The sequence below is a fragment of the Homo sapiens genome, chromosome 20 (assembly GCF_000001405.40).
Source record: "Homo sapiens chromosome 20, GRCh38.p14 Primary Assembly".
NCBI lineage: Eukaryota > Metazoa > Chordata > Mammalia > Primates > Hominidae > Homo > Homo sapiens.
This window is the reverse complement of record NC_000020.11, coordinates 46,893,148-46,907,007: the sequence shown is the minus strand read 5'-3', so window position 1 is coordinate 46,907,007 and position 13,860 is coordinate 46,893,148. Positions and strand designations below refer to the sequence as shown.

At 44.3% G+C, this 13,860-nt stretch overlaps 1 protein-coding gene and 1 long non-coding RNA gene across 5 annotated transcripts in view, besides 1 other annotated feature; one reads left to right on the top strand and one right to left on the bottom strand.

The window, feature by feature from the left end:
- EYA2 (EYA transcriptional coactivator and phosphatase 2) overlaps positions 1–12,165 on the bottom strand; it is a 294,002-nt gene extending 281,837 nt beyond the window's left edge. For all 4 annotated transcript variants that reach the window (NM_005244.5, NM_172110.4, XM_017027721.3 and 1 more), the window contains exon 1: positions 12,021–12,165. The gene's annotated coding sequence lies outside the window, so the exon portion shown is untranslated. The remainder of the gene's footprint in view (positions 1–12,020) is intronic.
- Positions 5,237–6,436: an enhancer, noted in NCBI's record as "BRD4-independent group 4 enhancer chr20:45529211-45530410 (GRCh37/hg19 assembly coordinates)". NCBI's record gives its function as "activates an origin of replication core promoter dependent on BRD2, P300/CBP, MED14 and CDK7 cofactors, and independent of BRD4, by STARR-seq in HCT116 cells {active_cell/tissue: HCT116}" and the evidence as "EXISTENCE:reporter gene assay evidence [ECO:0000049][PMID:35650434]".
- Positions 5,260–6,620, top strand: EYA2-AS1 (EYA2 antisense RNA 1). Its single transcript, NR_183876.1, has 2 exons — positions 5,260–5,581; positions 5,743–6,620. It is a non-coding gene; the product is annotated as an EYA2 antisense RNA 1 (long non-coding RNA).

Here is a 13,860-nt window from a genome sequence, read left to right as displayed (position 1 = left end):
TGGATTTGAACGTGGAGAGACTGGCTTCTGTAGTGTACTGTACCCTAAAGATAATGGAATACGCAAATACATCCTTGTAAGAAACTGAAAAATTATAACTGAGATTTAACATCGCTTTCAGCCCCTTCTCATGCCTGTCCTTAATTAATTCATTGTGCAAGTAAGTGAGGGTCAAAGAGTTTAATTTTTTATGGTGGTTAAAGAATCAGGGAAGTCAGGGGTTATGAAGACAAACTCTAGAACCATACTCCCACATACAAAGCCTGGCTCTACCCCTGCACTTGCTGGGTGACCTTGAACAAGTCACTTGACCTCTCTGTGTCTTACTTTTCTCACTTAAACTGGGAATAGTAACAGTACTTTCATCGTAGAATTATTGCAAGGAATAAATGAGTTAATGCCTATAATCTTTCGGAACATATCCCGGCATAAAGTTAGCCCTCAGAGATTATTTTTTATCAACATTACAGTCATCCAAAGGTTAGTTATTCTTCTTTCAAAGATACAAGACACAGACTAGATGTGCCCGGACACTGATGTACTCTGAGATGACTTTACCAATGTCCCCGAGAGACTGCATTTGTTTCATTTTATTCCCCTGAAAGCAGCACAGCATTGCAATTCTGGTTAGTAAAAGGTTCTGGGTATTTGGGTGGAATTTGTCGTACGCAGCCTGCGGGGATGAGTTTTAAAACTAAAATGTTTTATTTTAAATGAATAGATCACAGGGAAAGCTTCACATCATCAGATTCGTGTTTCTGAAACTTCCCTCATGAACTCTGCCATGGCTGTGTGCCACTTTTGCTATCAATTACTTGATGGACTTGGTTTTTAAATCATTTTTGTCTTAAGCAGTAAAAAATTGTAAAACCATTTGTTTCAAATGCTTTTTATATCTTTTCCAAATGCATAATAAGATAGAGACAGAACTCTAAAGAAAAAAAATGTCCATGTACATTTCAAGTTAATGTGGAAAGGGTGCCCACATCATTAAAAAGAAGTCTGCCCTTCAGAGACTAACAGATTCTTCCAGAATGTCTAAAGTCCCCAAACGGTAGCTACCTGAAGAACAGTAAGGAATGTGCCTGGGGCAAGTAACTTTCATTTTCTCCCCTTTCTTTGAGTACTCCTGGGAATGGGTCCAATTCCACAGTACCCTAAGTATTCCACTGTCATTTTATTTAAGTCGTATAACAAATCCTATATAGAAGGTGTCTGCTCCATGGGCTGATGAGGAGATTGGGGCTCAGAGGGCTCTTGTGATCTGCCCGAAGACACACAGCAGGTTGGTGATAGAGGGGACCCCATACCCTCTCCAGGAGCTGCCCAGCCTCAGACAACTCTGTCTCATGGTCCCACACCATAGCCAAGGGCCTGGCCTGGTCTGAGGAGGAAGTCACTTCATTCCGGTTGGCAAGAAATGGCAGGGATTCTTGAAGGATTTCATCCAGAAAAGGATTTTGCAACCCACTTACGTTACTTTTTCCATGTGCTGTTCAAGAAAAAATCTACTGGTTCTCAATGGAATGTGGGGTAAAAGGCCACAGCAACTCAGGCTCATTGAGGATGAAGGATGCTATTGAAATGTAAGAATAGATCATAAATAACTGGTTGGTCAGGGGAGTCTCTCCAGTCCACCATGATTGTTTGTGACCTTGTTCCAGGAGGGCTGTGGGTCATGTGGTACAACAGGCCCATGCTTTGGGTCACACAGACCTGGAATGGAATGCCGCTGGGCAGTCACTCGATCTGTCCAAGTCTCAGTTTCCATGTTTGTTAAATGGACACATGTATATCATGTATTTTTTTTTTTTGAGAGGATTAAATGAGCTTTGTGAAAGTGTCTGTCACATAATAACTCCTGTGAGCCATTTTTATGTCTCCTTCTTCCCTCCTCCATTCTCCTCCCTGAATAGACTTTTTTTTAATTTATAACTCTCAGAGGCATACCTGTATACTTTAATTTTTCAAAGTCCCAGAACTCAGGGCAAGTTTCATTCATTAGGTAACAGCAGAAGATTAAAACATCCATGGGGAGAGCTAACCGTTCAGACTCCCACCACCACTTTATGCAGTAGGAGGACTGTCTCTATTTTGTGAATAGGGAAACTGAGGCAGAACTAGGACTTGAACCTAGGAATTTGGGCTCCCCATTCTGGATTCCCAGTGATACAATCCGCCATCTGTAAAACCTGGTGAAGACTACAATGTTACAACTTAGATTAGGTTTGCTCATATAGCATATCAGATCTGGAAGGTTCTGAGTGGGCACCATTCAAAGCCAGGGTTGGGAGGGGCCGTGCGTCTTTGGCAGGATCGAGTAGCAGGAGAAAAATGAGAAATATTTTGTTTTTCTTTTCCAATTCATTAAGGCTTGTTGAGGGGAGCAAGAACCTCATTTTTTTCCTTCCCATTACTTCCCTTTTATTTTAGGGGAAACATGCATTTCAAAGACTGCTCAATAGCAGCGTTGAAGTCTCAAGTTCAATCACAATGTCCCCATTGTGGCTGGGGGACTCCCTGGCCTTTAAGCTTGGGTTATAAAAATTTGGTCTGAGCCCAAAGTCTGGCTTTAATAGAATATTTTAATTTTGTGTAATGAATATTATTTTAAATCTGTTTGGCAGTTTTAAAATGTGTTCTTTTATTTTCAAATTAAAATTTACTAATGTTCAGTGCTTTCTTGGGGGTGGGGGTACAGCAAGAAATGGGGGTGGTAATAATACAAGCTACCATTTATTGAGTGCTTACTATGTGCCAAACACCCTGCTCTGTGCTCGGTGTGCCAGCCACTCTTTTAAGCCTCCCAACCACCCCAGGAACAGTTAACTGCTGTCTCCGATGTCTGGGACGTTGAGAGGGTCAGACCCCTGCTGGAGATGGCAGTCCGTGAGTGATGGACTGACTCAGGCTCAGGCCAGATCTGTCTGAGTCCAGGGCCTGTGCTATCGACCACTGCCCAACATTCTCTCGATACCTAAAATGACTCAACTGATCAATAGCTTATAGACACCGCACTGATCCAGTGCACTGTTCCCCATAATCTCAATAGCTAGCTCATTGAACATTGAATGGAGGCAGGCAGTGTAGCAAAGCTAAGTGTTTTCCATGTATCGCCTCATTTATATTCTCACAATGGCACTATGAAAAGTTATTTTATTATTGTTGTTACTATTATTATTATCATCCCAAAGAGTCTAAGTAATTTGCTTCAGGTCAAATTCATAAATAATAATAATAACTGTAGCTGACACTGATATAATTCATACCACTTGCCAGCCGTAGTTCCAAACACTTCATGTTTATTAACTCAATCTCCACGATAGCTTTCTGAGGAAGGTGCATTATTATTCACCCTGCTTTACAGACGAAGAAACTGAGGCACCGAAAAGTCTGGTAACTTACCCCCAAGTTAAACGCAGGAGTAGGTTAACACTGAGGGGAAGTGTAACCTGAGCAGCCTGGCTCCTGGACTCAAGCTCTTAATCTCGAGGCTGAAAGTCAGTACCCAGGCTGAGGTTTGGAAAGTCTGATTCTCTACATTCCTCCTCATTCTGCACAACGCATTGAGGGAAGCAGAGAGTTGCTGTCGGCCGAGTAAGCCTGGGGCACTGGTAAGTCCTATATGCCTAGTGCGGTTTCAGGTGCAGAAGCCGAGGCACTGCTCTTACTGAACCAGGCATAGCTTCTGTGGGTGAGGGTCTACAGACTGAGGTGTTGCTTCCATTCTGCTGCTCAAACATTAGAAAGCTCAAAAAGTCATGTCAACACCCTCTGCACCCTCAGGAAAGAAGAGGCCATGGGATACTGGTGAGAACACATTGGGATCCTCCTACCGGAGATGCTGGATTTGGTCCTTCTCACCTCTGGCTCTCCAGTAAACAGCCCAGAACACAGCTAAATAAGTGTTGTTAAGTAAATGGATGAAGGAATGAAGTCACTTGTAATTTTCCCCTATCACTGTGCAATGTGTCAAGCACATTGGAGGCACCTGATAAATAATAAATCATTGAAATGGTATACGAAATGTCCCAAGTGCATGTTATTTCTGGTCTACAAGGATTGTCTTGTCATATTGCAATAGCTTAGAGGTCAGCAAACTTTTTCTGTAAAGGGCCAGATAGTCTTTGCAGGCCGTATGGTCTTTGTAGTACGGCTGTTCAACCCTGCGGTTATAGGGCAAGAGCAGCTGTAAGCAATGACTTAGGCCACTAACTGCAGTGATGCTACGACCATTTCCATAGGTCCAGCTTGAAACATTCATTCATTTCTACAAGGGCAGATTCAAAATCTTGTGAGAATCTGCTGGCGTCTCTTACTTTCTCAACCTGATTTTTGTACCTAACCATCGATAAATATCCATAAGGCAATGCAAGTGGAAAAGGACTTTAAAATCTAGCTCTCCAGGGCAGACAGATGGAGAAAGGGAAGTTCTTGTTATACCACGGGAGCAGGCTGGACATCCTAGTGGTTAGGAATCAAAACTGGGTTTAATCCTGGCTCTGGCATAAGCCATGTGATCCTGGACAAGTTACTCTCCAGACTCAGTTTCCACATCTGTAAAATAGAAATAATAATAACAGCACGTTCCATCTACTGCCATTTGGAGACAAAACATATAAAGTATTTCCACAGCACAATGCCTGGGACATAATAAATATTCAATAAATAATAAGTGTTCAATAAAACCTGTGATTCCCAAACAAGTCTTACAACTCTGTGTTTTCTTAAAAACAAAAGAAAATCCCCAAAACTAATTCACTAAAAATAAGCACAAAGGAATGACAGCAAGGCTACAGGAAGACATTTCCAAAATCGGGTCCCAAGGTGTTAGAAAAATTGTCCACTCTAGATCAAACCTCTAGCAAACCCCCAACCTCTCTGTGCTTCCCCCTCAAAAAAAGCCTGATTCTATGTCCTTTTATCAGTTTGTCTTTCTTGTGGGTGCCTGAGCAATGCTGAGACATTTTGAGCGTTTTAGACATTTGCTGAGTTTAAGGCATTCTTTCTCCCCTCCTACCGGTCTTCTCTCCACACCCCAGCCATTAACTCCTCCAGGGAGTATGGTCTGTTTAGCAAGAGGAGAGCACTGGACAGCTTGGGCCCATCGCAGACCGGAGGTGAATCATCTTCGGGGCTCCATTCTTTTTCATGTCTGGACGGGGCTAAAACTCTGTTGACAACACAGGCACAAGTCACAACTTGTTATACCACGTGACACCTTCCGAGCAGCGGAGGCTTCCCTCTACTCTAGGAGTCACACAAAAGGCCAAAGGTGCACGATTCTCCTCGGGGCTCCTTCCTCTCCGCTCCCTTCCCAACCAAGAAGGACACGCAGAACTTTGCTGGAGAGATCAATGTTTCTAGAACACCCTGAAACAAAAGTCCTGATATGTGCAAATAATACACACCCACAAAAGAAAATAACCTCTTTGCGCTGACACCCTGCCTCTCCGAAGAGGACGTTTTCTCCCTACTTGGAATTTCCATCAGCACCTGGGTTGGTACCAAACTCAGGACGTGGTGGACACGCTCTCTGACTCTGTATTTCAGGAAGCTGCCAATCAATAGAGATTTAAAGGTGAGTACTTATACCTTGCATCTTAAATGCTAGAAAACATAGTGGGAACAAAAAATTGTTTTGGAAACCATGAATACCTTAACCACAAAGTGACTATAGGAAGGGAATGGGAGGTGAAGAAACTGACCAGAAGGAACATTTTCATTTCATTTTATTTTCAGCTTCTGACTTCCGCATATCCGAATACCAGGTAGGAAACATCTGCTTTGGAGTAAGAGAAGGCCCCAGTACCTGCTTTTTCTCCGGAACCGTGAGAGGGAGCCATGGGGAGGAGACCAGAATTTCAGCCTTCCTATCTCCCTTTACCACAAGGACGCCTTGAGGACCCAAGTCAAATTGAGATCTTTCAACCACGGGCTCGGAAACCCGCTTTCTGTGTCCACTTCAACCAAACACGTCTAACAGGCAGGAATTTAGAGGTGGCCAAGGTAACGAGAACTAGTGGTTTTCACCCTGTTTGGTGACCTTCATAGGGCTTATTTATGCACTTCAAGCGCATGACCTAATACATGTTGGTTTGGCTTCTCTTCTCGTAATAGCAGCCTGTAAAAAGCTTTTGAGAATTCCCCGTGTTTTCTCATTTTGGGTCAAGAAAATAAAATCGATATCTAAGTAACCTTAAAAAAATGGCCTGCACAATCTAAAAATTTGGAATGTTTCCACTAGGACTAAGGATATCTCTGAAAGCCTCAAAGATCATCAAAATGAAGTCCAACATTTGCTGTTTTTAAGGTGAGATATTTGGTAACGGAGTATGAGAGAACTGGCTAAGGGGGCTTTTTGACATAAGTCAAACAATGACATTTAAAACTCACGTAAAAGCAATTACTGTGTGGAATTTTTCTGTGTTTTTCTCATTTCTTAAACAGAAGTGTATATGTTTTCAGCATAGCTTCTTGCTGTAATTTTCTTTCTTGACAAACCCACATCTTACCATGAAACCCAAAGTATGCATGCTGCAGAAACAATAATGGTTGAAACAGACCCGGCTGTCTCTGGCATGATTTTTCTTTACAAAATTAAAATGTCTTTTGGCTAATACACGTGTATTTCAGTTATGAAAGGCCATTCTTGGGAGATGAATAGAAAAGAAAGGGGAACTGACAGATTTAGCTGACGCGAGACAAAAGTAAGTTGCCATATACAGTAGTCAAACCCTCCAGTTCCTCATTCTTTGGGGAAAAATATGTTGATTTTATCATTTTTCCTTTAGTTACATTAGCAGAGAGTTGACAATTCTCCTCTGAATGACTGCAAGTAGATACGTTCGTATCTATTACATCTGGGAACACAGACTTTTAAAAAATGTAACTTTACTAGATACTCAAAAGGAAAAAAGAAGAAGAAAGTGCAATGCCATTGAAATTACACACATTTTCATGTTACTGACACAACACTATTGATACCAAATGACAAAAGAGTTTCTAACCTCTATTACATACTTTGTTCATTTTTAAAGATGTTTAAATTGGCATTGCGGCGCGTCTAAGTTCCTGTTTTAGATTTCTGCATATATCTGAAGGCAGAGGCAGACTTTTCAAAAATGCACGAGCAGGCACAACTGTGTTCTGACTACTATCATCCAAAGGCGATGACAGCGCTGACGAAGCCCCTGGATCCTGCCAAAGTTTGTCCCAAAGACGAGTCTCTCAGCCCCCACTGACCCGCAGCCTGCTGGTTCCAGATTCAGGCAACCAGTGGCCTCCCTTAACGTTCAAAGAGGCAAAGATAAATCATTCCAGCTACCTGACTCTCGGCACCACCTGTTCCAAATTATTCTTTGCTCTCCAAATGTTTAAAATCTAACCCGAAACAACACCCACCCATAGCGATCCAGCACCTTCCGGTAAACTTGACTTGGGCTGCGCCTACCGTAATGTTTTAGGGCCTCTCCACTGCCGGTAAATTTATTGACTCTTTTTAGGACCTGAAATGCGTAGTGTTAGTATCGAAGGAATAAATCAAATTAGCCCTTAAATAAACCGTCATTTTCCTTTACAGAACCATACCCAACCGGTTAAGGGTCATGGCTCACAGAGGTTTGTATTTGTGTTCCTGAATATTTAATATGATTTTGTTTCCCCATTTCAAACGACAGTGGCAAAAAACGTCAGGGCAGGTTCAGAAAATAACTGTGTTCTGTGCATTTAAAACCATCCAAATTCAGCATCTTCCTCCAAAGGAAATGATAGCAGAAATGTTTTGAGCCAAAGCTTGTATTGCACATGGATAAGGCATACTTTGCAGAGAAGCAAAAGCGTAGATTTCATTTTCACTCAGTCTGGCCCTGTGTCGGTCATTTGACCTGCGACTCAGTTTCCTTGTTAACAAAGTTGAAATAATGATAATAATACTCAAGGGGTTGCGGCAAGAATCCACTTTAAAAATACACGTGAAGAGCTGACTGCAGGCCTGGTATACCAGTTCTCAATAAACAGCAGCTATTTTCATCATTACTATTAAACAGAAGGGTATAATTTGCAAGTCAGAGAAATGACAAAGGAACTCAATAGGATGAAAATGAACAAAAAGAAATATGCACTAAAAATGAATGTATAAGCCTGTGGCTTCCTTCATGCCTTTTCCTCTAAATACACCTGGCAGGTACCTTAAAACTGATTTTAAATCACACGCCGTAAAGAACAAGGTCTTGCCCCTCTGATTCATTTACAATAACACAAGTGGGTCTGCAGCCTCAGTTACTGTCACTTCAAGTATTTACCACCTGACGGAGGGGGTGTTTATCCTCCTCCGACTAGAAAAGGGTGTTAGTCAAACACCATTAGGCCAGTTACGATCTTCAAACAGTGAAAACGAAGCATTGTCTCCAGCGAATTCTCTGCTAATTGTTTTCTTACCAGAATCTTCTTTTTGTTTTGTATGTTTAGGACTGTTTGAACTGCCACAAATGATAGTGGGGAGAAGTGGGCCATTCAGGAAGCTGTTATGACATTGGGGGATGGAGATCAGGGAAGAGGGTTGGGAGTGAGTGAAGAATTGTGGTGTGTGTGTGTGTGTGTGTGTGTGTGTGTTTTCTGTCAACAGGCTGTGTTTTCTTAACTCTGGGATTAATTCTTTGTAAAGAGATTCCTTTTGAGCACAGTCTACCAACTCCTTTTTCAGAACAGTTAGCTAAAAAAAACAAAAACAAAAACAACCAAAAAAAAAAAAAACCAACACAAAAACCCAAAAAACCCGGTTCCTTCCACCAACAAAACCCAGTCTTAGTCAGAAAGTCCAGCCTTTGGAGGTAACAGACTAACCAACTCCTTCACCCTCACAAACCTCACAGATAAGGGGAACCACATCATTAGGCGAATTCTCCCTTTATCAAAAGTCTCTGGGGGAGCAGGTTCTCCTCTCTCCCAAGGAATTTATGTCAGGCCAGGCAGTCTTTCTTTTCATTTTGTGCCCAGGTGGGAAGCAGTTAAGTTTTTTACACTGCCCCGCACGTGACACCAATCCTTCTCCCCAAGCCTTTGCACACACACACACAGCATACACCTAAGACCTGAAGACACTGCCTAATACTTATAATTGATTCTCCCCCAAGCATCTTTGTATGAAGGAGGCCTGCCCAGCAAAGACAAAACTCTACCCCAGTCGCAACTTCCACTCCTCCGCTCTGCGATCATGTGCGTGGATACTTAGGAAAGGCATGTGTCTAAAGAAGGCACCTCCACTCCCTTCATTTTCTCCTGACAGCCACAGGCTCTCTTCTCTCTCTGCCCAGAAAGGCATCTGTCATAAGCGGCTGGGAACCTCACTTATTCACCATTACGGCCTGCGATTTTATTATACAAGGAGTTTACTGCTGGCCTAATTAGTTTCAAACTGGGCATTCCAGCTGAGGACACCTAAAAAACATCTGGTGGAAGGAGAGAGAATGAGTCCTCGCTCTGAGCTGGTTACGGTTGGATTTCTGCATAACTCTGCTCTCTTGCGCCCGATGCAAGTTGTCTTTGGAAAAGTAACTGAAAAAATAAGGAAACGGTTTCTTCTTTGTGGGAAAGGAGTCATCTTGTCACGGAGGATCCAACAACGTCTTAAAGTGGACGTGCTTGGACTGTGTATATTTTTTCACAAACGGCTGGGGTCTCCATAGCTTGCTCACCCTAATTCAAAATGTACTTAGCTACACCACAGAGCCTTTTTGCTGAGGGCTTTTCCATTCTCCCAACAGCAGCTAGCATTTTATCAATTTATCCATCTGGAACAAGGTTTGCAATCTCTTACACGCAATTTAAAGCAGAAGTAATACCACATATTTGAAACAGCGTGTCTTGGGCGTTTTTGCCAAATGGTAATCCTATAACAAGTCAACAAATCATACCTCTTTATGATGTGTTTAATGCAAAACAAAAGACATGAAAAGAAGATTCTAAAACTTACGTGATGAAAACTTTTTAAAAAAATCCTAAAGTATTGAGATACACATCTTTTTATTTTATTTTATATTTCCTTTAGTTTTTCTGATATTGGGGAAGTGATTTGTGTGTTTATAGAGTATTCTCATACACATGGTCACAACACCAGGTGAGCTATTTTAAGACAGAAAAGAAAAATGCCAATTCCTTTCAGATAAAATAGTGAATGATATTGTGAAGCTGAAGTTACAAGAGAATGGGGACATATAAACTGCTTTAAAGTAAAAAAAAGTTCAGGCTCTTTTGCATCTAACCACATTGGTCTTTTCACAATGGCAAAAGTTAAGAGTTTGCTACGAAGGCAAGGAGATTTTTTTTAATACAAACACAATTTAATGCTTAGTCAAAAGCAAGATTCAAACCACTATCATTTGTTATTTGTTATATAAATTATAGAAGAACTTACCCAAGTGTGAGAGTGTCTAAATGCAAAGATATGTAAAGGATGAAGGGGCTTAAGGTGATGAAGAAAGACAAGTGGAAAAAATGAACATTTATTTATCGAGTAAAATTGTGAAAGATTCTTTCACAAAGATTATTTTGAAAAAGAGGTTCTCTCCTCCCACTCTTTCTTTGTGTACCTCTTTTTTTTTTTGTAAGCAGGATGGTTACATGTGTATGTTAGTTGCTAACAAATGGGTCATAGTCTGGTAAGGTGCTTACTAGTTCTGTATCTATTATGGTCACAGACATTTCACTCAATCAAGAAACGGCTCATGAAATTAATAGATTCGGTTTGAAATACAATTGTCCACTGGTTATAATTTCCTTTGTAAGGGATCTCCCTAACTCAAACATAATTCAGTGCTCAAATTCTTACATGATGTTTGTAAATCATCCTCCTGCCCCTCCGCCCTCGCTAACAGCTAGATTCCAATGTTCAGCTCTTCCACTGCACCTCGTAATTAAAAGGTACCTCTTACCGGGGTGATTTATACCTCCACGTTATATTTTAAAAAGTAATTGAAGATTACATAGCATTTCGGGGAAGGGGAAAGAAAAGAAAAGGGTATCCATAAAAACGCAGCATCGGTCTTGCTTTTTAAAAAGAATTCAGACCGCGGCAGGGTGCACGCTGTCAACTCTCAGCCTCGGCTTCGGGGAAGCAGGAACCTCGCACTGCAAAAGGCGCTTCCAGTTCAACAGCTGAGAAAAGCGCACTGAGTCTTTTGCGATAGGAGTACGTTCACCAGTCACGCTTTCCTAGTATTCCTTGAGCTTATAAACTATTTATTGCTGGGGGGGAGGCAGGCAGGAATATATTGAAGGAGCCTGGGCCAGCACGGCCGTTTAACCTCCAGACTTCATGACTAAAAAACAATTCCATTTCCCACTTTCTCCCATTACAACGAAATCCTTGCCGCCTTCTAAACACCCTTCGGATGTAAACTTTTCTAAGTTTCAACTCTACCCGCAGCAGGCGCCAGGATTCCCTGCCCCGGTTCAAAGCCCCAGACCTGAACCAGAGCGGGCCGAGCGCAAACGGACTTTTGAAAAGAAATATATCAATAGCTAGAAGGCAAAGTCTCAGCGGGCCGTTCCAGCCCCAAGCCGGGATTCCAGCGGTTGGCTCTGCTTCTTGGTTATCCCATAAACACTACCTGAGGGCTTGAGTTTGCGGACTGGGGGAGCGCCCCTTATCGCGAACCGCCGGGACCATAATCGAACAAAACGCCAAGGACCCAGCCGCGTCTACACCGCCTGCGCGCCATGCACTTGTCCCGCGCGCGGGAGAGCAAACTTCAGGGTCGTTGCCCCAAAGCGCATGGGGAAACTGGGGCCCCGAGCCTGGGAGAGCCTTTCCAGAGGGGGGCTCTGCTGCTGTCCCCTCTGCCCTTGTGCCTTCCTGGCCCTGGGAGGCCCGTGCGCCCCAGAACGTCCCGACAGCTGCGGAGGCCCCGCTTGGCGAGTGCCAGAAAGAGGCGCAGGGCGAGGGGGTCCCGGTGAACAACTCCCCCCGCCCGGCGAATCCCGGCGGGCGGCCTGGGGTGGGCGCCGCTGGCGGTACTCACCGCGCGCAGTGGAGAGGGCGCCCCGACGCGGTGCGGGCGGGCGGGCGGGCCGGTGCGGGTCCGACGAGGCCGGGCTGACTGCGGCGGGCACGTTGCTGTCTCTGCCGTTGCCGCTGCCTCCGCCTCCTGGGCTGCCGCGGCTGCTGCCTGCGCCGGGAGGACCGGCCCCTTCTCCTCCCTGGGCCGGGCCCTCCCTCTGCCCCCGCCCGGGTCCCCGCGCCGCTGCGTGGGCGCGTGGGGGCGCCGAGGCGCGACGCTGGGCTACGCGGGCGCACACACCCGGCGGCTGGACGCAGGGCGCGGGGCTCTGGCCCAGCACGTGCCGCCGCGCCGCTTCCTGAGCCTGCAGCCGAGCAGAGCGCGCTCACTCTCGCCGGTCCTGGAGGCCAGGGCCCAGCCTCCTCCCCACCCACCGACACCCCGCACCTCCTCCCTCCCCGGGGCAGCACATCCTCCCTGCAACCCAGGCATGACCCCTGTGAAAGGAACGACGGCTCGGAGAGGACCTCAATAGTGACACTAACATTCGTTCACTCAACCACCCATTCATTCATTCAAAATATATTGAGCATCTACTGTGCCAGGTACCACTCCTGAGAGACTCAGCTAGAACAAGACAGACTAGTTTTCTGCCCTCCCGGAACTTGCATTCACATGGAGAGGCAAACCATAAACAAATAACCAAGTAAAGAAGCAAGACAGTTTCAGAAAGTTAGAGTTACAGGGAGAAAAATAATATATGTATCTGCTGTTGGGGAGTGGAGGAGAGGCGGTAATTTTAGCTAGAGCAGTCAGGGAAGACCTCTCTGAGGAGGTGACATCTGAATTATGAGGAAGTGCCATTGGTGTGGTATTTAGGTGAGAACGGTTCAGGGGTCTCCCCTATGTTTCACCCATTTTACAGCTAAGGAAACTGAGGTCTCAAGAGCTTAACTGGTTTAGTGAAAGTGAGAGGTATAGCCCCCTCCACCTACATGCCCAAATCAAGGCACCCCACTTACTCCATCCTCTCATAGCCACCCCCCTTTTAGTCTCCCTGGCAATGAACTGTGTTAATTGGAGTCTATGCAGCCTTTCCTAGCCCGTCACCCACTCTCTAATGTCTATGAATTCCACCGTGGGACACCCAGGATGCTTCAATCCAAAAGCAATATCAACCACTGTCATTTCTTAAGTGCAGTAAAAGACAGGGCACCCAGGTGAATTTGAATTTCAGAGAAACGAGGAATCAGTTGCAGTATATGTCTTATGCGATTGGTTGTACGTACTTATATTTAAAAAGTATTTCTTTTGTCTCCGAAATTCCAATGTAACCGGGGGTCCTATATTTTTATTTGCAACCTTAAGCTCATCCAATGCCCAACTCTTCCTTATCTCATGTAATCCCCAAGAGAGACCCCAAGGTAGCTGCTGTCAGCACACTCATTTCACAAATGAGCAGGTCCAAGCTCAAAGAAGGCAGAAAGTGGCTGAGCCAGGAATGAAATTCAGGCCTGGCTGACTCCAAAGCCGTTGCTCTTGAGCCGTAACAGTCTTCAATTCCAGTTGTAAGTTTACAGGAGCTGATGAAGGTTAAGTTCTTGGGCCCCTGACTTGCTTGGACCCCTTTCTAAGGGGACTTAGAAAAGTGTTCAGATGGTGGCTTGTTGATGTAAAGTTTACAAAAGTCCTTTGCTTTGGACATTTGGCTGCAGGCCGTAGACACCGCTGTCTTTCCACTCCGATTCCCCACCCCCAACTTGCCCTTGAGTAGGGTGGTGTCAGGTGGCTGCTGGCATTTTGGAGGAAAGTTGAGTTGGGAATTTTGTGATGTTTGTGGTAATTTTCAGCTTCTTAAAAT